The 23,239-nt window shown below is 41.2% G+C and overlaps 1 protein-coding gene across 39 annotated transcripts in view, besides 1 other annotated feature; it reads left to right on the forward strand.

Annotated features, from left to right (window-relative positions):
• Window positions 1–22,517, forward strand: part of CHD1L (chromodomain helicase DNA binding protein 1 like) — a 123,016-nt gene extending 100,499 nt beyond the window's left edge. For 37 of the 39 annotated variants that reach the window (NR_145686.2, NR_145682.2, NR_046070.3 and 34 more), the window contains 11 exons: window positions 2,109–2,223; window positions 2,859–3,012; window positions 6,781–6,946; window positions 11,106–11,254; window positions 12,079–12,242; window positions 13,053–13,255; window positions 14,390–14,488; window positions 18,237–18,307; window positions 20,363–20,477; window positions 21,164–21,272; window positions 22,186–22,517. Coding sequence is in view for 23 of the 39 variants with exons in the window: in NM_001348451.2 (NP_001335380.1) it covers window positions 2,109–2,223; window positions 2,859–3,012; window positions 6,781–6,946; window positions 11,106–11,254; window positions 12,079–12,242; window positions 13,053–13,255; window positions 14,390–14,488; window positions 18,237–18,307; window positions 20,363–20,477; window positions 21,164–21,272; window positions 22,186–22,264 (1,424 nt within the window). In the remaining 16 variants the exon portion in view is untranslated. Of the gene's footprint in view, window positions 1–2,108; window positions 2,224–2,858; window positions 3,013–6,780; window positions 6,947–11,105; window positions 11,255–12,078; window positions 12,243–13,052; window positions 13,256–14,389; window positions 14,489–18,236; window positions 18,308–20,362; window positions 20,478–21,163; window positions 21,273–22,185 lie in introns of those variants that run through there. The other 2 variants (NR_145691.2, XM_047435001.1) reach the window with 2 other exon arrangements.
• Window positions 19,513–20,710: an enhancer, noted in NCBI's record as "BRD4-independent group 4 enhancer chr1:146764440-146765639 (GRCh37/hg19 assembly coordinates)". NCBI's record gives its function as "activates an origin of replication core promoter dependent on BRD2, P300/CBP, MED14 and CDK7 cofactors, and independent of BRD4, by STARR-seq in HCT116 cells {active_cell/tissue: HCT116}" and the evidence as "EXISTENCE:reporter gene assay evidence [ECO:0000049][PMID:35650434]".

The following is a 23,239-nucleotide window of genomic DNA, read 5'->3' on the forward strand; positions in this document are numbered from 1 at the left end:
ATCTTATTTTTGTAGACATAAATCTTGATGGAGTACATGCAGGAACATGAAAGAGATGTGTGTCCTCTATTAAAGACAGATTGACATTTTTCTAAAAAGAGAGTTCAGTCTTATTTAGAAAGCTTTCTAAATGCCTGCTGCTATAAGGGTATATGAAAGAAGTGTTAGATATAATTTTTGATTATAAGGAGATTATTTCACCTGTGTTTGTTTTATCTCCCTAATAAAATTAATAACATAAGATTCATTTGGCCTCACTCTTCCAAGATCATAGACTGCACATGGAGTCTCAGCCATTTTCTCATGTGATCAGTTGCCTCAGGGTTAGTCTCAGGAGAAACTGAAAGAATCAGGCAGTGCATCATCACTGCCGGGAAAACAGTTTTATTTATGCTTTAATGATTTCATCATCCTCATATTCAGAGAGCAGCATTATGTTTGAAATGTCTAAAATTAGGAAAAAAGAGATCTCTGCTTTTCAGTTAATCTCCTTGGAGGACTCAGAGTAGATCTGGGAGCTGAAGCAGTCCTGGACATTAGTCTTCTCCAAACACTGTTGTGTTTGCTGTCACAGTTTTGTTGTAGTTTTGCAGTATTTTCATTTATTTAACAGGTTTCCTTCCAAATTTCAAATATTTCTGTGATGAGTCATGTTGCCACCAGATGGCAGTGATAGCTCATGAATATGTTCCTATTCATGGATGTGGGTGTGGCTTATTTATAAAAATCTCACCCCTCGGTGAAGAGCTGCACTTAGACAACATGAATTCAAGAAGATAATTTTATGGAACACATTTTAAAATGAAATAAGCACCTGAAAAGTATTATAGTATAGTGGATAAAAGCACGGGCTCTGGACCAAGACTGCAAGGGAATGAATCCTGGCTCTTTCACCTTCTAGGCTTGCAACTTCAGAGAAGTCCCTTACCCTCCCTTTCAACATCTATAAAGTGGGGAAAATCGTAGCAACTACTCAACTTCCCGACAGGGTTGTTGTGAGGGTTAAAGGAGTTAATATAGAGAGAGTGCTTAGAATAATGCCTGGCAAGTAGTAAGCACAGCGTAAGTGTCATTATCATTATTATTAGGTATAATTTAGCATCTCTCAGTAATCGGTCATGATTACCTCCTTGTTCCAACTTCAACTTGATACGAAGACTTTAATTAGAATATTCCTGCCTGATTTGTCTGGAGATCCAGCTTATGGTCAGTAGTCCTTCTTAAAAGTTAGTCCTTAATTCAGGTTTATGGAACAAGCCCTTTCAGGCTTGCTTGTTTCAGCAACCAGCTCTAACGACCCTGGCAAGAGGGAGTCTGTTTTGTACTTGTTTTCACATTAATCAAAGAGAAGGCTGCAATGTACCTTCACGGTTCTCTTAATTAATTCCTGTAACTCAAGGTACCTCCTCAGCTCTCTTCCTGCAGCACTGAAGAAAGACCAGCAAGAGTGTTCTGAGCAAGCCTCAGAACACTCAGAGTAAATGACAAGAGTGTTCTTGTCTTGCCGTTGGTTTTGTTACTTTCTTTTTGATTAATGTGGAAACCAGTACAAAAAAGACTCACTGGAGTTTTCTCTAATCAGAGGGAGGAGGTTTCCCACTCTGCTCAGGAGTATAATATCATCCACTCTTCTCATTAACTTTTTATCAGAGATCTTGCTACCTAGTTGTAACTTGCAAGCGACATTCGGCACTCTTCTCTTGACAGTGCGCACTGCAGACCTCTCATATTTAGATCTGTTTTCTGAAAGAGCATGTGTCCTTTTCCTCAGACTACTCTAATCAAAATCTAATCAAGGTTTTTAAGCAGAAGAGATAAAGTGGCTCCATGGCACTGACTTAAGTATCCACCTTGGCCACTTGCCCCTGCTCCGCTCATTCTGTTCCATTCAGTAATAAAAATTTTCCCATCAGGCAATAAGAGGTCAGGTAGCACTTCTCACCGCTGGAACAAGGCTTTGGAGTTAGGGGTGTGGGTCCATTTGAAGGATGAAGCCAATTGTTTTGACTGATTTCAGTTTATCAGTCTGACCCACTCTAGCCTTGTGCTTATTTTCTAGCTCCTCGTCTTTGTGCTGCTGATTACATTCCTTTTTGCATTGTTTTCAGGTGGAGTTGGCATGAACTTAACAGCAGCAGATACTGTGATTTTTGTTGACAGTGACTTTAATCCTCAGAATGACTTGCAAGCAGCTGCCAGGGCTCATCGCATTGGCCAAAACAAGTAAGTGATTTTTTTCTGCTTCCTTGGCTTGCCCAGCAGCAGTTCTGGGTTGTGAAAAAGGTGAAGAATATAGTCCTGGTGACAGTCCCACACTGGGAGCTGAGAGACCACCAGGTTTTAGCTCATCTGTGCTATTGACTCCTAGGGTAGTATTGGGTGGGTCACATTATCAGTCCAGACTGACTTTATTAGAAGGAGTCAAATCAAACTGTGAAAGGATTAGAAGGAAACTTTAGAAGTCATTTAACTCATCCTTCTTGAGTTAGGGTCTGACTCAGTTAAAAAATGGGGTTATGGGGCTATGGAGCTAAGCTAAAAAAAAAAAAAAGAAAGATAGATGTTGCCCTTTGATCTGAGGATAATTTGATCTTCCAGATATTTTCCTTGGCTACAGATAAGGAATCCCAGTCATGGTTACCCCATCATTCTTTCTTTGACTGTCTGGAATGGTTCAGAGAGAATTTCAGGCGAGTTCTCTCTAACAAGTGCTCAGGACCAAATGAACCAATCTCCCTTTCATTGTACCCTGAATATGGTATTTGGTTTTGTTTGCTTTTAGATGTATTTACCTTGCATACTTTTGCCCAGCTTTGCACACCCTTATAGCACACTACCCTTGTTTGACTTATGTCCAGGTCTGTTAAAGTTATTCGGCTGATTGGTCGAGACACTGTGGAAGAAATAGTCTATAGGAAAGCAGCCTCCAAACTGCAGCTCACCAACATGATCATAGAAGGAGGCCATTTTACTCTGGGAGCCCAGAAACCCGCTGCCGATGCTGACCTCCAGGTATGATATGATATACTGTTCTTCACTTTGGAATATACCAATACCCTTTGTGGAGGAGAATGTAAATGAAAAGAACCAGCACTCACCCTCTCCCCAGCTACACATTTGTTCCTTGGCCTCCCTCACACCTGCCACAGTGCTGGCTGTGTGCAGGGTCTGTAGGAAGTAAGGATTAGTTCCAAGCCTCATCACTTCTTGGCTGTTTGGGTTTGAGCGGCTTTCTTAACTTCTTAGATCTACTCTTTTTGCATTTCTAAAAATAAAGACACCACAGGTTAGCTCAGAGGGCTGTTAAGAGAATTAGTTAAAATAAAGAACTCAATAACAATTAATTCTGTACTTCCACCTTAGTCCCAGAGCCTTTGATCAGTGACTTACATTACTTCATACTCAGAAGAGGGCGAATGAGATCAGGAATTCATAATTGTGCCTTAGAAAAAATGGGTGAAAGAACTAGAGGTAATTTATTTAAAGAAGGGAGTACTGGATGGGAGACAGACACTGGATTGGAAGATTTTAGAGCTCTCTTTTGGAAGAGGACTTAGAGTTACTCTGTAGCAGCCCTTGGGTTAAAATTAAAACTCATAATATTTCCTGGATGCTTTGTTTTTGCCCTAAGGATGAGGGGCTGGATGCAAAGAGACCAACTCCTAGGATACTAGAAAGATGCAGGTATGAAGGGAGTAATAAATGTCTGTCAAGGGCAGCATCAGTGGGAGAGTCTGGTGTGAGAAACATTGCAAAAGAAGGAAGGACAGGAGTTGGCTACTGTTTAGAGTTGGGTCTCAACAGTAGGGAGATAGAAAATTCAAAGATGGCTGTGAGGTTTTAGGCCCCTATGATGAGGAGAGAAGAAAGGAAAATAAGAAGTAGGGCAGAGTTTTAGGAAGATAAAGAGAATTTAGGCTTTAGTCAGAGTGTGCAGTAAAAATACAATATAAACAAACTATTGTTAGAGGCAGACTCAGACAAAAGGAAAGAATTTTATTTGTAAAAGTTTGCAAGATGGACTAGGATTGGAAAGGACTAGTCCATCAAAAAACATAAGTGTTTAAGAGAGAAAAAGTGACACAATATTAGAAGCAGAGTTACTAAGTTTGTAATTAGTCTGAAAAAACAGCAGTTTTCTTACATGGTTACCGTATCTGCAAAGGCCAGTGCATATCTTTACATATCAGTGTTGCAAAAGACAGGGATCCTGTTGTTTTTGTTAGGGAGTTAGTAATTACAGGAAAGGCTCAAGGTTTTATTAATTTTGGGACTAGAACTAGAAAGAGTAACACTGGGTTTGTTCTTTGTTTATCTTAGGGGGTAGGTGTGGCTTTTTTCTTTTTCTGACTTTCCTTGTGTTGCTGACTGTGTCACATGCATGCTTAATTAACCATAATGGTGCTAGGGCAGGCTGTACATTTTGTTTTCACACTAAGAGACAATTATAAATGTGAGATGAAAGCTTGAGAGAGAGGTAGAGGTACGCTGTAGATACCCTTAAATGCAGTTTTCCACAGAAAAATTATCCATAGAACCTTAAGAGAGAGAAGGTCACTGCTGGGCATAGTGAAGGGGTAAATGACAGAGCCTCACAAGGCCCGCATTCTCTTGTTAGAGGAGGAAGGATGTCATAGGTTGTTTGCACTCTCCCAGTGGAGGGAGCGCCAGGGGTCCAATGAGGGGTATCTTGTGATGTGGGCTGCTGGACACATCACTGTGAAAGATGTAGACATACCTCCACCCCATGGGGCCACAAACGAGTGGGAACATGGACTGCTGGCTGAGAGCGACTCTGTTGGACTTCTTGCCCAGCTCATGGTTATCGGAAAGTTACTTTCTGACTCTAATGTCTGATTTATCTCTTCCCCATGCAGATGCTATGAGTTATTTGTGGTTACCAAAAGCAAAGGTGATAACCCAGAGCCCTTGTCTAAAAAGAAAGCAGGGGATTTTTGTTTGTTTTTGTTTTTTGGGTTTTTTTTTTTTTTTTTTTTTGAGACAGAGTCTCGTTCTGTTGCCAGGCTGGAGTGCAGTGGCGCGATCTCAGCTCACTGCAACCTCTGCCTCCCGGGTTCAAGCAATTCTCCTGCCTCAGCCTCCTGAGTAGCTGGGACTACAGGCGCGCACCACCACGCCTAGCTAATTTTTGCATTTTTAGTAGAGACGGGGTTTCACCATGTTGGCCAGACTGGTCTTGATCTCCTGACCTTGTGATCCGTCCACCTCGGCCTCCTAAAGTGCTGGGATTACAGGCATGAGCCACTGCGCCTGGGGGTATTTTTTTTTTTTTAAATACCAAGAAACCAAAAGTAAAAGATGTGGTTCTGATTTGGTAAATCTAAGCAGTAGGTATGGAGTTCTGAAGTCCTGAAAGAAGGAAACAGGTTTTTTATCCTGCAGGGAGGACACAGTAGAAACAGGCAGGCAGATGCAGGTGTAGTGAACACTTATTGGATACTGTGTGCTGAGTGTTGTCTGAGGTGCTCTTTTCCAGTTGTTTCAGTAAATAAGAATAACAGCAGGATGAGATAGACACTATCTTTATCCCCATCTTAAGTAATTTGCCCAAGGTTATTCAGATTTAGGATTCCAATCCAAGCACTCTCTAACCTCCGAGCACATGCCCTTAATTACTGTAATATACAGCTTCTCATAAAAACACATGTAATTTTCTTAATGACTAAGACACATTGCAAGTGAGCAATAACAAGGGAGAGCCAGGAGGTGAGCATAAGTACAAGGGGGTGAAAGGGAGGGTCCCAGTATGGACCAATTCTTATCATAAATAGTTGGCTTCCTACTATTTTTGGTACCAGCTGCCAAAGCCAGTCATCCTGGTTATGTGTATGGAGGGTAAATATAATATATCTAGGTACATTCATGCTTAAGTGAGCTGTCTATTGTTTCTTCAAGCTGTTACAGAATACCTTAACATTTCCAAGTTACTCACAAAATAGACGATCTGGAGATAACCCAGTCTAAAAGGGCAAGATGAGAACAAGGGCCCAAGGTTTGAATCCACCTTGGGTCAGGATCTCAGAATTAGTGCTTACGGAGGTGCAAAGTTGGAAGTAGCAAGTGAAAGCCAGGAAAAATTATCTGTGCTTTCTGCATGGTTCCTACAGCCATAGGGAATAGGCTGAGAGTACTCCAGAGAGGGACGAGAGAAGAGAAGCAGGATAGTGCAATGCCAGAGGAACATCCAGAAAAATTCAAACTGAGAAAAGGCCTTCGGGTCTGGTGGTCAGAAGTTGTTACTGATCTTTGCCAAGGTGGTTTCGATAGACCACTGTGTTAGGAAAACAAATTGCCAAAGAAAAGGAGTCAGTTCATGATAGAGGTAAAGTTCCTAGTGTAGCCTTCCCTTTCTAAGGAGTCTGGCAGTGGAGAGGTTGGAAAGTAGCTAACAGGGTCTCTGATCTCAAGTGGCTGCTGGGAATGCTTATGAAAAAGTCAGTGAGAGGTGCTGTAGAAAATGCAGGAAGTTACTATTATTCTTCAAAAAAATTGGAGGCTTATACATTTTTTTTGTTTTGTTTTTATGCAGAATTGTCAAAGTCAATACCTCTGATAATCATTTATCACCTCTCTGCTTACCCATCATCCAACTATTAAATGGCCCTGGCTGTTACTATCTATGATGGGGAGAGCAGAAAGGCTGCCTGTTCATTAGAGAAGGACTGTGCCTGGTGTCGTTAATCCACTTAGCCAATCACTGATATCCTAATGTTTCTTTTCATGAGAATTTGCTGGACTTTTTTGTTTCCTCTATTCAAGTTGAGTGAGATACTCAAATTTGGTTTGGATAAACTGCTGGCCTCTGAGGGGAGCACCATGGATGAAATAGACCTGGAGTCCATCCTGGGAGAAACAAAAGATGGCCAGTGGGTCTCTGATGCCTTGCCTGCAGCAGAAGGAGGGAGCAGAGATCAAGAGGAAGGAAGTAAGTTGGAGGTTAGAGCAGAGCAAATGGCACAACCACCCCAAGCTAGAGCTCACGTCCCCATGGAAAGTTTTGGATGCTGCTCTCTGGGGCATCTTTTTTCTCCCTTACCCTATTGTCATTTGGGCACACTGTTTAAGACTTGCTTGATAAAAGAACGTTACCCAAACTAACTGGAAATTTGTGTGGCTCTTCCCTTGTAGCTGAACTGTGAACCAAAATCATAGTATTAATGTTTATGATAGTATCAATCTTAAGGCTTTGAATTTGTACCTTTTCTCCCTTGGTTGCAAACATCTTCTTCTTTATTAGTAAAGCCTACCATCCTTGGTATGATGCTTTGCACATAGCGATTCCTCTTCTAAACAGTAGAATTACTTGTTTTTAAAATTGCAGCTAACATTAAGCATTTATTTTGCGTTCATCAACAGTGCGGACTTTGTCATGTGCTTTTTCCATTTAATTTCTGTAATCCATGAGATGTAGGAGATGGTTTTGTCTTTCTCTTAATTTTCTTTCCTGAATTTGGTCAGCATTTGTCATTTTGTTCTTTTCTATTCTGAGCACTTAAATTTCCGATTTGAAGTAATTTTTCACATGGTAGCTTTGTAAAGGTATTCCCTGGCATCTTGTAGTTATTTTGAAATGACTTATTTTTCTGTACCAGCTGCAGCAGAGATTCAATATGGACTGGGGTGAGAGGTTTGGGAGTCTTACTAGGCTTCTTAATTCACCAGTACTTTCTTTTAATTATACACAATAGTGCTGTTTCTTCACTAGATGGTAGCTCCTTTTTATTTTGGGTAGTGGTAGTGGCATGATTTCTGGTTTTGTAGTTCTCTTTTGTTTCTATAGGACCGTGAATTTCCATCGCTCGCTTTCTCTCTGTGCCACAAACTTGTCAAAGGATGTCTTCCCACTTCTAAGTTGTCTCTCTCCCTGCCAGAAGCAATGCCTTCCCTAATTCCTGGCTGCATGTATTTTCATACCTTCCCTTCTGTTCAGTTCCTTAGTAGCCACTGCTCTGATCCACTCAGACCTATCCTCATTATTTTCCCACTTGGAATGGGACTGTCTTTTGTGGGTAACTTTTATCTGTCTGACCTTTCTGGAACCCTCCTGCCCTCTCCACTGCATAGTCTCTGCCTGACTGTCTACTCTAGTGTGGGCTTTGGAGCTGGTTTTGGGGGTTCATTTCTCTTAACTTCCATAAGTTGAAGTGTGTAATATTTTCTGACTCCTAATGTAGTAGGCATGGATTGGGGTGGTTTTGTTGTCCTTGTTGATCTGTATAGTTTTTGTGGGATAGGTGGAAAAGTTGGAATTTGGGCAGCTGGCATTGTTTTACAGGAAACTGCTTTTTGATTTTATGTTTTATCTTCGAAATTCTTTATAAAAATATCTTGTTTGTATTCTTCAAGAACTCTTTCTTGTTCTCTGCTTATTGTTTTAATTGTAACTCTGTTCTCATTTCAAGGACATACTGTCTTCTCTGGGGACATTTATTATGGCTTCTTAATATGTATTCCAGGGAGAATATTACATCTTTTTAAAAAGTATTTCTCTTCCCATTGCATTGACTTTTACTTCTACTTCTTTAAAAAAATATATATATATTTATTTATTTATTGAAATTGGCAGATAAAATTGTATTTATCATGTACAACATGATTTCTTGAAGCACATGTACATTGTGGAATCATTAAATCTAGCTAATGAACATACATCACTTCATATGGTTATATATTTGTGGTGAGAACACTTAACGTCCACTCTCCTAGTATTTCTCAGGAATACAATATGTCATCATTAGCTATAGTCACCATGGTACCTCTTTTTCTAAAAAGGAAAATTCGTTTGGGGATCTCTTGTTCTCATCGATAGTTTCCCCAACCGTCTGGTATTCCCTGGCTGTCTGATCACATGTGCTGATGAAGTGCCACAAAGCTGAGGGCAGCTCTGGCATGGGCCCTGGGGACTTATTCCTGGTTGGTGAGTCAGCTTTTACATGGAGGGCACCTTCTCTGATCCATATTTGATGTCTTTTCACTGGGCAACCCATTTTCTCCAGAGACCAATCTTCTAGTATTTTCCCTGGGAGAGGTGAGAATGGAGTTCACCTGGTTGCTGAAACTGAAAAGGCGGGGTGAGTCAAGGGCTCATGGCACTCCTGCTCTTTGGGGTGCAGATCTTCTCTCAATTCCCCGCTTTGCAGTACTCTGTACTTGTAAGTCCTAAGCTCTTGGGGGATTGAGAGGGTCTCTAGACTCCTAATGAGCCCTTGGCTAGGCACCTGTGTTTTGTTTCCATGTCTCTTCTTAATCTGTCATTATCCCTCCAGCAACTTTGCATTTTCCAAAAGGTTCTTGAACTTTTTCATCCACCATTGCCTCATAGATCTTTTTTAAAATTCCTTTAACTGTCACTTTGTGGTTTCAAGTGAGAGAAGAAATAGATGCATGTGATCATATTTTTAAGTTATAATTGATTATATTAAGTAGCAACACACTCAGTTCTGTACTGATCTAGATAATTTCAGCTTATTTTCCTAACGTTTACTAGAACAAAATAAAGTCACACTCTTTTCCAGAAAGATAATTATATTTCTCAGTCAATCCAACTGCCTAAAATAATTTTACTTTATTTAGACAGTCCAACTGCCAGAAAAAATCCCCAGTTGTATTACACTTTGGAATTTTCTCTTCGATGAATGGATATAGGTCCGCTCTGTGGTAAATGATTCTCCTGGTAGGATAGAGACGCGGGTCTAGGCTTGTGATGGCAGAGTGAAGATAGGAAGTATGATTACAAAGAATATAAGTGGATAGGAAAGACTAGTAACTAACGTGGCCCCAATCAGAATTAAATAAAAAACAGGGTTGCTTTATCTTAAATGCCAACATTTTTTTAAAAAGCATGGTTGGAAGTTGAGAATTGCATGCAGTATGAAGCTACATATGTTGATCATATTTGACACTTCTCAGCTCTATTTTTTTCTACTTGTTGATAGAGTGCCTCATTGAAAGCCCCCTGCTGATTTAATTAGCAAATGCCAATTAGAATTACAGCTGGTTAGATTTGGGTACAAGTGTGAAGCAATTGATCTCTTGAGAATGAAAATGTTTTGCTTTCATACTCTCTAGGGAAAACATACTTATAATGGATTTCACAAATATTGTGAAAATATATTATTTGGTAACATGTGCTACTAAATATGCTTCCCGATTCAATCATTATCTTACCTATCTGTGGTTGCTAGTCTTGGCTGGTCCTGACTTTTCTTAATCACTTGATTCATGATCTTGGCAGATCACTCAACCTCATTGAGCCTTTTTGTTCTCATCTGTAAAATGGTCCTATTAATGCCTACTTTACTCTTTTACACAGTTGGAAAAATCAGACACGATTATAGTTGTGAAAGTGATCTGACAGCATGAAGTGCTATTCAAGATGACACTATTGTCTTCATTGTTATTATTACCACAGTTATTATTTGCTAGCCTGTTAATCTCTCCACCCTTCTAGAGACCCAATTATATACTGAAAAGAGCACACTGGCCTTAGAATCAGAAAATCCTGCCTCTTCCAGTGAGAATTACAGAGTCCCTTAATTTCTGCCTAAGCCTCAGTTTTCCCTTTCAAAAGTAGGATTAGTTATACCAGGATTGTGGTGAGGATCATGACGAAGACGCTTGATGAGATCTGTAAAGAATATTGTAAATCCAAGGGATTATTTTTGTGATTCTTCATTTTCTCATAGATTTGCCAAGCTGAATATTAAAAGTGTGTTTGGAATAAAAAAGTACGGATTTTATTAGATGATCTTAATGTCAGTGAGATTTGCGCTGAGGGATAGTTGGGAATAAATGAATGAGGAATGAATGGAAGAATCCAGCAGAGATTCACAAACCATCTAGGGATGAACCAAAGGGTTTTAAGCCATGCTCTCCCCTTGGAAAAGTAAACACATGGGATCCCCATGTAGAACCCACATTCTTCAGTGTCAGTGGGATGGGAAATGAAATACCTTCCTTCATATGGACTTAGCCCATTTAGAATATAGGCTGTTCTCCTGTCCACTTTTGTTATTGATTTGAATAGCATTAATCTATTTTTCCTTGGTATCTAACATTTCTCTCTTTGTGTTTTATGTTGTTAGAAAATCATATGTACTTATTTGAAGGTAAAGATTATTCTAAAGAGCCCAGTAAGGAAGACAGAAAATCATTTGAACAACTGGTAAACCTTCAGAAAACCCTTTTGGAGAAAGCTAGTCAAGAGGGCCGATCACTCCGAAATAAAGGCAGTGTAAGAACTGTTAATTTATTTAAAAGTTGTTCTTCCAAACTCTCATTCTAAAACAAACAAAAAAATGATGCTGGCATCGTTTTGTTCTCTTAGGATGATTTGTCAAGAAATAAGTATGTGTTTGCTGAAATGTTATTATAATTAACTATACCCTAGTATAAAAACTATGTAAAAAAGTCAGCATGAAAAACATAAAGGAGAGAATATATTGTACGATGTCATGTAGGTGAAAGCAGCCTTGTCCATCCAAGTCACCCCTAAAGGCATTCCTATATTATACCAAAATACCATATCCTGCTGTTGGTAATGATGACCCTATGACAAGAAGAGAGGATGGCAATCATAAATGATATATGTAGTGTTCACAGTGTTTGGCAGTTAACGTGGTCATTAAATGCTAGCTATCACTAAGATAATCATGATGTTGAAATACAATCTTAAAAAAGTTACATAATACATTGCAGAAAGAGTTCCATTAAAAATGGCTGAAGTGGCATCCTGCAGGGTATGCTTTTAGTCAAGGAAAAAAGTTACTTTTCTGAAGTAACTTATTCCTAATGAAATGAATCAAAATGACTGTTTCAACCATGCCAATGCTAGGGCTGAGTTTACAGCATGGTATCCTGGTCACTGTGCCTGTGAAGTGTGTAGTATGAACAGTGCCTCCAAGTGCTTTGCCTCCAGTTCCCACCATGCAGGGTGTGTGGAGATGCAGTGTTCTGTGGAATATTAAGCATGTTGCTTCCGTACAGTGTGTGTTAGGGATAATGAAATTCGGGGAGGAATCTTCTTGACCCTGGTGATGGATCTTGTTCTTCCTCTAGGTTCTCATCCCAGGCCTTGTGGAGGGATCTACCAAAAGGAAGCGGGTTCTGAGTCCAGAAGAGCTGGAGGACAGACAGAAGAAAAGACAAGAAGCAGCTGCCAAGAGAAGGAGACTCATAGAGGAGAAGAAGAGGCAAAAGGAAGAGGCTGAACATAAGAAAAAGTATGTCTGCGTTAACCAAGCTGGCGGCCACAGTTGAAGGAGTCACTATTGTATAGTGAGACCACAGTTGAATATCACTTTAAAAATACAGAAAATTCATTTTAAGTTGGTTCCTATTGGTAACAGAATACTTTCTGAAAACATTTCCTCTAGGTAAGTGAAAAGTCTCAGTGTATAAGGCAGGGAAGATGCATTCCATTAAAACCAGAATTGTTTTCTTTTTTCTTTTGAGATGGGTTCTTGCTCTGTTACCCAGGCTGGAGTACAGTGGTATGGGCACAGCTCATTCAGCCTCAACTTCCCATGCTCAGTGATCTACCCACTATAACCTCCCTAGTAGCTGGGAACACAGGTGTGTGCCACCATGCCTGGCTAATTTTTTTTATTATTTGTAGAGACAGAGTTTCACGGTGTTGCCTAGGCTGGTCTCAAGATCCTAGGCCCAAGCTGTCTTTCTGCCTTGACCTCCAAAGTGCTGGGATTACAGGCGTGAGCTACCATGCCCGGCCAAAACCAGAAGATTTTAAGATTTTATTGTAGCTATCTGACAAAGAATAATTTACTTCAACAATCTCTTTTAGTCTTAAAAACAGGAACATTCAGGGAGTGCTCATTATTGAATTGTAGTCAGGAAGCAGTTAGCCTAATCAGTAAGACTTGTTTACAAATAAGTAGAAAACTTCAATCAGGGTGAGTTTCTAATTGCATTTCTACTTGGCAGATATTGTTTGTGAACAGCAGTATAAAATGTGCTCCAAGGGAAATTGTGATTGTCTGGGTTAATTTCCTTTTGTCTCTGGCCTGCTAAAGGATGGCCTGGTGGGAATCCAACAATTACCAGTCCTTCTGCCTGCCCTCTGAGGAGAGCGAGCCAGAGGACCTTGAGAATGGGGAAGAGAGCTCTGCTGAGCTGGATTACCAAGACCCAGATGCTACTTCCCTCAAGTACGTTAGTGGTGATGTCACCCACCCTCAGGCTGGGGCCGAGGATGCTCTCATTGTGCACTGCGTAGGTACGAGAAGTGGTATGGGCTGGGGATGGGGGCCTCAGTCCTTATGGTGCCAAGAACTGGGGAGGATGGGGCACTGGGACTGGGGTGGTGGTCCCAGTGTAGTATTGTACAGTCAAAAAAGTGTGAATTTTAGAGTCAGGAGATATTCCAGAATCATTTCACTCTTGGCTTTCTCATTTACCTGGTTTAGTTACCCAACCTTTCAACTTCAACTTCCTTATCCATATGATGGGACAATATCTGTCTTATCCTCTGCACAAGGTTTTTAAGAGGGTGAAATGAAGCAACATTGATAAGACAAACAAATCCTTTGAGAAAAAGCAAAACTTCAAGCTTGTTCCCTTGCTTGACCTTTGTACTTTTTACTTCATCTGCCTAAAACCCTTTCTTCCCAAATAACCACATCAAGTGTTGTTCAAATGTCTGTTTCTCAGAGAGGTCTTCTGTGATTACCTCATATAAAACAGGCCCCATCCCCCCTGTTATTCTCTGTCCCTTCTCCCATATTTTCCTTTATCACACCTGTCCCACCTGACACATTACCTATGTATTTGTTTATTTGACTGTTGCTTTGCATTAAAAAATACACTTATGGCAGCAGGGGTTTTTTCTTGTTCGCTGCTGTGACTGTGGTGCCTAGAACGATGCCTTACGTGTAATACATGCTACCAAACGTTTGTAGTGTGAATGAATGACTATAAATGCTAAGATACTAAGCAGCTTTGTTAGTACCAGCTTGAATAAGTCACTTAACCTTTCCTGTGTACTGTTTCATAACCTTGCCTATGTGCTGTTGCATAACCTATTGCTTCTACTCACTCTGTAATGTTCCATCTACTCTCCGTCCTTCCGCAGTCATTTGCCAGGAATCACAGATGCACCACAGAGATTTTGCTCATTGAGAACCCTAATTTTTGAGATGCTTTCCTGTTATCATGGCCCCAGCTATATCTTCCAGAAAACATAAACATATTTGGGAAGTCCAACCTGTGATATTCCTAGGAGATAAGATATTTTGTTTCTTCCCTTTGAAAAATCATTCTTCCACAAGTCCCTTTTGTGTGCCTTTGTTTTTCTAAATTGTGCACTGGACTTCACCTCCTATAGATGAAAATTTTCTCTTTCTTCAAACAGATGACTCTGGCCACTGGGGCAGAGGTGGTTTATTTACAGCTCTGGAAAAGCGATCCGCTGAGCCAAGAAAAATATATGAGCTGGCTGGGAAAATGAAAGGTAAGAAGCAAAGCAGAGGGAAAGGTTAAGGGTGGAATAAGAGAGAAGAGGACACCTAAGACTGTATCGTGAGGGTTACACAGCACTAGATAAGGAATTAGAATAACCAGTTGGGGACTGAATTCTGTCATAAATTAGCTACTTGTTCTGTGACTTCAAGGCATTCCTTTACCTTTTCTGTACCTGTTTCCTCATCTGTGATTTGTGAATAATACTTGTTCTGCCTACTTCATAGAACTGTAGTAAGCATAATAAATGTGTGTATTCTGAAAAATGTTGATCCCTGCATACATGTTAAAGTATTGGAATGGGCTGGACACAGTGGCCCATGCCTGTAATCCCAGACTTTGGGAGGCTGAGGCAGGAGGATTGCTTGAGGCCAGGAGTTTGAGACCAGCTTGGGCAACATAGTGAGATCCTGTCTCTACCAAAAATTTAAAAATTGGCTGGATGTGGTGGTGCATGCCCGTAGTTCCAGCTACTCAGGAGGCTGAGGTGGGAGGATCACTTGAGTCTAAGAGGTTGAGGTTGCAGTGAGCTGTGATTACACCACTGTACTACAGCCTGAGTGAGAGTGAGACCCTGTTTCAATAAAAAAAAAAAAAAAAAAAAAGAAAAAGAGAACTATTGGAATAAACATGAAGGAATATGTCATGAAAATATCAAAGATCTATGGGAAGCCGGGCGTGGTGGCTCACAGCTGTGATCCCAGCAATTTGGAAGGCCGAGACGAGGCAAGGAATTCAAAACCAGCCTCACCAATATGGCAAAGCCCTGTCTCTACAAAAAAATACAAAATTAGCCAGGCATGGTGGCACATGCCTGTAATCCCAGCTACTCAGGAGGCTGAGGCAGAAGAATCACTTGAACCTGGGAGGTGGAGGTTGCAATGAGCTGAGATCATGCCATTGCACTTCAGCCTGGGTGACTGAGCAAGACTGTCTCAAGAAAAAGACCTATGGGAGAGAAATTGGACATACCATTAAAATGCTGACAAGAACTCGGGTTTGGTGCTGAGTGGAATGAAGATGTGTTAAGAGGTCAGCACAACCTTGGGTATAACACTCCCTGGAGACAGAAATAAAGCTGTTGGGTGCCAGGGGAACTTAGAAGCCTGAACAATATTGTCCTTTGGCACAGAGAAGGGAAAAAGGCACCTCCTTTTACATCCAGAAATAACAAAGTGGCAAGAATAAAATTATTATTGTGGTGATTTTCTGGAGATTGAAGGACCTTGTCTGATAGAGAAGGGCCCTCCAGATTCCTTAGATATTGTTTTTTCCTAATTCTGCCCAGTTCTCTATGGTGGAAAGGGATATAAGAACTTAGAATGACTACTTTTTCTAGTAAAACAAGTTACTGAAAGAAGGGTTTAATGTGTGTTGAAATAGTCAATCCAGATCTAGATGCTGATTGGGCAGTTGGCAAAGCAAAACCCAGGGAAGGTCAGAGCTGGAGGTGCAGATTGAGGAGTCCCTGTTTGGAGTCTGTGTTTAAAATCATGTGGGAGAGAGGATGGAGAAATGAGAGGCAGAGAACAGACCTGGAAAACACCTCTACTTAGGACTTGAGGCAAGAAGATGGAATTTCTGACAGAAGGAATTGTCAGACAATTAGGGAACCTTGTGCGGTATTTTGAGGTACAAGGGAGGAAAGTATGTCAAGAAGGCAAAGAAGTTCATGGTATTAGACACTGAAGTGAGGATGAATTGGGAAAAGGCCATGGATTTTGACCCAAGGTTGCTCACCTTGGAGCACTTTGAGGAGAGTGGGAAGCTCAGACTTAAGGCCTGAGGGCTCAGGAAGGAAATGGAGATGAGAGTGTGCAGTTTTCTCTGAAGGAGGATTGAAGCAGGTTGCAGCAAAGTAGGTGAAACTGTGGATTCCAATTCCCAGGGAAGGCTTCATGGAGGTCCTGGGCCTGGAAAGGTGGGTTGAATTTGAATAGGTGGAGAGAAATGGCAAGAGGATCCCCAACTGCTCATTACAACACTTACTATTCCTTGTCTGTGGGTATTGAAGGACCCAGGCAGTTAGCCTGTTCCTTTGTGTGGAGGATGGCGTACAGGCCATGCAGGCCAGAGTGGAGGGTTTAGGCAGAAGAATAGAGGAGAGTTTCGTTTTCATCAGCGGCTTGGGCCACATCATAGAAGACGTCACATGATTTGTCCAGGGAGATGCCATTCTGCGCAGAACCTTATCTAATGGAATGGGTAATAGCTGGTCGTTTTGGGGGATTTGATCAAAAGGATGGCATAGCACAACCAGTATTTTAGAATGACTGAACAAAAAGTTCAAACTGGTATCAACCTAACCAATAGACAGGGTCTGTAAAATAAAAGGAACAAAGGTTTTTTGTTGTTTTGTTTTTGTTTTTGAGATGGAGTCTCATTGTCTGGAGTGCAGTGGCCCGATCTTGGCTCACTGCAATATCCACCTCCCAGGCTCAGGAAATCCTCCTGCCTCAGCCTCCCAAGTAGCTTTGTACCACAGGCGCACACCACCATGCCCGGCCACTCTTTTGAATTTTTGGTAGAGACAGGGTTTTGCCATGTTGCCCAGGCTGGCCTCAAACTCCTGAGCTCAAGTGGTCCACCTCCCTCAGCTTCTCCAAGTGCAAGGATTACACACATAAGCCACTGCACCCAGCCTGAGGTTTTTAAGGAGAAATGAGGAAGATTACATACTTTTTTTGAATCAGTTATCCTTGGCTACAAGGATTAGTAAGGGTGGCACCACGCCGAGGTTGGGCAGGCAGTTGATGAGCAGATGTCTTTGCAGAAGTATATTTTTATGTAAGCTTGCCAGGGCCCTTGTGCAAGGTCATGGGTTTTGTAAAATCTGTTGTGATAGTTCTTGTTATCAGACGTTTATGCATTAGAACCTTCCCTTCATGGCCTTCCCTGGCTCTATTTGTCAGAGTTTTGTTTTATTTTTTGAGATAGGGTCTCACCCTGTCACCCAGGCTGGAGTGCACTGGCGTGATCATAGCTCACCACAGCCTCGAACTCCTTTGCTCAAGAGATCCTCCCACCTCAGCCTCCCAAGTAGCTAAGACTACAGGTTCACAACACCAAACCTAACTTTTTCTTATTTTTTGTAGAGACTGGGTCTTGCGCCTTGTTGCCCAGGTTAGTCTGGAACTCTGGCTTCCAGCAATCCTCCCACCTCAGCCTCCCAAAGCACTGGGATTATAGTCATGAGTCACTGTGCTCGGCCATATATGTCAGTTTTTAACACAAGCATCTCTATTTTGATTCTAACCGCTTTCACATCAGCTTATGTAAAGCCATAGAATTAAATTAGCACATTTTTCTTCACTATCAGTTTTACTTGATTTGGATGGGGTAGGAAAATATATTATACAAACAGGTAGAGATAAAGTAGAATGTAATAATTTGAATGATTTAGGACAAGCACAAAACTACCAAAGGAATTTCAAGCTCATAGTGCTCCCTCCCCAAAGCCCCCCAGCTACCTCTGGGTTTTGTATTCACTTTCTGATGTCTACAGGGGTACTTTGTTGTTAATGTTTGAGGAGCATTAAATTAGGAGATCATAAAAATTCAGGAGTGAAGCAGGTGAGTACCCAGCTAAGAGGTTGACTGAGGCCAGGAAAGTGAGAAAGGGCTGTGTAGGAAGGTGGGTCCTGAAACCCAACTGAATTTGAAGAAGGCGAGATACGAGGAGGATTCATTCATTAGTGAACTTGGTGTTCTTTATGTTGCTCCTTTCTGTTTTACCTCAGACCTGAGTTTGGGAGGTGTCCTTTTATTTCCTGTTGATGATAAAGAATCAAGAAACAAAGGGCAAGATTTGGTAAGTAAAACCCATCTCTTCTCAGAACTACAAGTGGACTCACATCAACTTCTCTTGAAGTGTCCCCTGCCCCAATTGGCCTCTCTGCTAGTGTATTAGTTTGTTAGGGCTGCCATAACAAAAAGACACAGACTAGGTAGCTTAAACAACAGAAATGTATTTCCTTATAGTTCTGGAGGCCGAAAGTCCAAGATCAAGGTATCGGCAGGTTTGGTTTCTCCCGAGGATTCTCTCCTTGGCTTGCAGATGGCGGTCATCTTGCTGTGCATGCACAACCCTGGTGTCTGTGTGTCCAGATTTCCTTTCTTATAAGGATAGCACTCAGAATGGATCAGGCCCCACCCTAAACCCTTGTTTTAACTTCATTGCCCCTTTAAAGACTCTGTCTCTAAATACAGTAAACATGAGGTACGGGGGGTTGGGGCTTCAATATATGAATTTGGGGGGACACAGTTCAGCCTATAACAAGCAGATTGGGCCATAGTCTCCACTGTACTTCCCCTGTCCCCAGGCTTCCATCCATCTGTCCCCGGAGCACCGTCCAGATAGCAGATCCCATCTTAAGTACGAGGATTTCTATTTGTCTTTTTATCCTCAGTACCCTACATAGTACTAGCTCATAAGAAATGCTCCATAAACATTTACTGCATGAGTAAGAAGGCATGACTCAGAACTCTGACGGTTTCATTTCTTACTATGTGAAAATTTCTATGAAAGATTGTGTTTTCTAGTCAGCCATAATAAAGCAGGAGAGAGGAACTAACACATATGTCCTCTGCCCACATCAGAATCCTTTTGCATCTTAGGCATCTTGGGATGCCTGTAGTGAGTTTGATTTACCCCACCTACCTGGCTTTCTCCAAGGCCTGGGTTCATGTTCAGATTTTAAGCCAGAATTAAGAAATTTCAAAATCAGGCCAAAAGAGAGGCTCATCCTTTTGAGGTTGCTGTCTATGTGACTGTGTTAGGCTGTTTTTGCACTGTGATAAAAGAATTCCCTGAGACTGGGTAATTTACAAAGAAAAGAGATTTATTTGCTCATGCTTCTGCATGCTGTACAGGAAGCCTGATACTGACATCTGCTCCTGCTGGGGGCTTCAGGAAGCTCACAGTCATGGTGGAAGGCAAAGGGGAAGCTAGTGTATCACACATGGCAAGAGCAGGAACAAGAGAGAGTGGGGGAAGGTGCCACACTGCTTTAAATAACTAGATGTCATGTGAACTACCAGAGCAAGAACTCATCACCAAGGGTATGGCATTAAGCCATCCATGAGGGATCCACCCCATGATCCAATACCTCCCACTAGGCCCCACCTCCAACACTGGGGATTACATCCTAACATGAGATTTGGAGGGGGACACACATCCAAACTACACAGTGACTAACAGCAAAGTGGTTTCTGTTGAGTCATTCCTTCAGTAATTTCTAAAATGCTAAAAAAGGAGAAAAGTAAAGTGTCTGTGCATGAGAAACTCAGAATCCAGTGATTCAGGAAAACTGTTTACAGGGAGTAGAGCACCATGTCTATGATATGACTGTGGTGATGTCATCCCGGAAGCTCCCTTGACACTCTCCAGCTCGCCCACTTAGGTTAGGATGGTTGAGAGATACTTGGCATTTTGTCCTCATGGGAATTGTTCGAACAGAGATGGAATGACTGCTTGTCCTGGGGGTTGTGGAGCTGACTCAGGCATCAAAGGGCTGGGATACAGGAGCCTCTAAGATCTTTTCCATGCCTACAATTCAGAAAAATTCTCTTTTTTTTTTTAACCCTTGAGAGCTTTTGGAAAGTATATGTTTTGGACTCATTCTCTGGTTTTAAAGTATTTTAAAAAGAAGAAGAAAACCCTGTATAAAGTGACCACAAAGTAAGAATTATGACGGGATATGAAGTCATACATATAGTAGGACATTGCTGTTCAGGCATAGCATCCGAAAGAGACAGAGCCAAGCCCAAGTGACCCATCAAGGGCTGTGCCGCCTCCATGGGCGGTCACTTGGTTGAGTGTGGCTGTTTCATGTTGGGTTGGTCATCTAATGGTGGTTCTTTCCAGTTGGCCTTGATTGTGGCTCAGCATCGTGATCGTTCCAATGTCCTGTCTGGCATTAAGATGGCAGCCCTAGAAGAGGGCCTGAAGAAGATATTTTTAGCAGCAAAAAAGAAGAAAGGTAAGCTCTTCCACCTGTGCTCAAGAGTAGATGAATTTGTTTCTAGGCATGTGATACGACTTTTGAAGGGAGGTAAGAAATGTCAAGATCCCACTTAATATGCACGGTAAAGGCAAACCACAGAAGTGATCACCCCACCGTCTTGTAGTCATATAGCCCCTTGTCCTTTCCAAAACACTTTTAATACCGGTTATCTCTGTAGGCCGTCTCCATCCCCCGGGTATTTTTATCGTGATTTTACAGATGAGGTGGCAGAGGACTAGACATGAAGCAACTTGGTCATATGTAGTTGGTAAATGCTGTTTATTTAATCTCCTCTTGGAGAGTCACAGTTCCCAATAACAGACAGTTCTTCGACAAAAATTGAGTTTAGTTTTGTTTCGAAACCTAGTGTGTCTCAGAGCTTATTGAATTGATTGGCTTGTTAGAGAATCTTTGCTTATTTTAATTTTGCCTCCACCAATCATAATCTATTTCCAATTGTATGTATTTCCAGAACTTGTAGGTCCTTGTGTTCAACAGAATAATTTAATTTTTCTTACTACAATTCTTCCCCCGGAATATTTTTGACATTATAATTATGGGCTTTGAGGGAGATAGTCAATAATAATTTTCTCCCATGTGTATTTTATACCCATCAATCAATTTTTGATGAGTGAAGACATGTGTTCTTCTCTTCATAATAGCAAGTGTTCATCTTCCACGTATTGGACATGCCACGAAAGGTTTTAACTGGTATGGTACTGAGCGACTTATTCGGAAACATCTGGCTGCAAGAGGCATCCCAACTTACATGTATCCTTTTGTGATCTTCATTGTGTGTTCTCCCAACCCAAGAGGGAAAATGTGTTCATTTTCTGGTGTCAGTTCTTAATCCAAGACCAAGTTTCTTCCTGCCACAGTCTTTACTTTCCCCCTCTTCAGTGAGACAAAGAAAGAAGCACTTTCTAACTTGTGTGTATCAAATATGTACACCCAACAGGATCAACACATCCAAGCATTTCTGGATGCCAGCAGATAAATTAAAAGATACATGAAGGGGAGAATTAATTGAGCAATTGTTAATTTGGTAACATATTGAGTCTGTCACATCACTTCTCTAGAGATCCTTCAGGTCTGTGGAACAAGGCTTAATTCTAAGAACTTCACACTGTTCATTTTAATGAACAGTTAAGCAAACAAATAAGTGAACTATTTTATTCCTGAACCTTTTTGATGTATTGTTAAAAAGCAGTATGAAATTTATTTTAACCATGAAGTCATGATCTACTTTAGCTAGACTAGCGTTTTCTTCTAATGACCTCCTTGCTCTATAAGTTAGCATATTTTGAACTATTATATTGAGTCCCAAAATTACTAGAGAAAGCAGAATTGACCCCAAGTGCTATAATCACACAGAAACTCCATCTTTTTACATATTTGACTGAAATTCACTCAGTGATGGTCTTCAAGATATTTAAATCACTGTAAAAACTTAGAGAAGCCAGCTTTTATGTGCTTGCACAATTCGAGCAGTATCTAAAGAGTTTTAGTACTCTGAAAACAACAGCAGCAATAAGTACTAATATTGAAAGTGTTTATGATATCGTGAGAGAATTAAAGCATACTACTTCTAGAACAGTTATTTCAATAATTACTAGAGAACTAGTCGTTTTGGTAAAGTTGGTTTAAAGTGATGACATGTATCTTCCTTGACCATCCTTATCAGATATTATTTTCCTAGAAGCAAGTCTGCTGTCCTTCATTCACAGTCTTCATCTTCCTCCTCAAGACAGCTGGTGCCTTAAGAATTGGCCCAGCCTCAGATCCTGTCTTTAGCAACCAGCTAATATTTACCCAGAGGTACTGCAATAGAGTATTTCAAAATGGAATCAGGATCTGGTGGGCCTCAGAAATTGTCTCTTTTCTGAGTTTCAGTTTGGTTCTCCTGGATGTTTTGCTCTGTTTTGGTACCTGTAATATAGGGAAACACAACTTTTTTTGGGAAAGCCCTTTGACCCCAGCTTGCTAGTTGCATAATAATAAATTTTCTGTTCCTAATGGTTTTATTGCTTTCTTTCCCTTACATCTAGTTTTCTTCTCCTCTACCAGACTGATTACTTTATAGAGGGAAAGCCTGTATGGATTAAGGAGACATGAAAGGTCATAAAACAGGGTGGCTCTGGGAGAAGGAAGCACCTTCAGCCAGTTCATGCCTTCAAAAAGAAAGGACCCAGGAAGAGACACTGAGAAGTGAGATTCTTTATCCAGACAAATAGTGTACCTCCTCTCCTTTTTGCACTGCACAACATCAAGATCTGGAAAAAAATACATTGATCTAGAGTTTGTCAAATGTGACTTCAGAAAAACCACAGGATCTTTTTTCTTCTAGCCACCAAATCCAATTCAGCTTCAAGGAATAAGGGAATTGTGAAAAGGGCGCAATCCCATCACAGCATGACTGATGATATTGGGGAGGGTAGGAGACCGAGAACCAACAGAGAAGGAGTCATGGAGGGAAGACTGTAAGTCGTGGCTTTCCACACCTGTGTGTGTCTCAGTCTTGGCTGAGTATTCTCACCCAGCATAATTTCTGCTGACTTGAGGCCATCAACACCTAGAGTGCTATGGAGGCCTCATGAGAAGTCTCAGTCCTGGGCTTTGATGTGGGGAACTCTGGCTATTGGACTCAGAGCCAGGACCATGGTCTTCTAAGGAAGGTGGTACCTGTGTTTTACTGTTCTGAGTCTCTTCTCACATATTCACCCTTCATTAATATAGCA

The sequence above is a fragment of the Homo sapiens genome, chromosome 1, assembly GCF_000001405.40.
Source record: "Homo sapiens chromosome 1, GRCh38.p14 Primary Assembly".
NCBI lineage: Eukaryota > Metazoa > Chordata > Mammalia > Primates > Hominidae > Homo > Homo sapiens.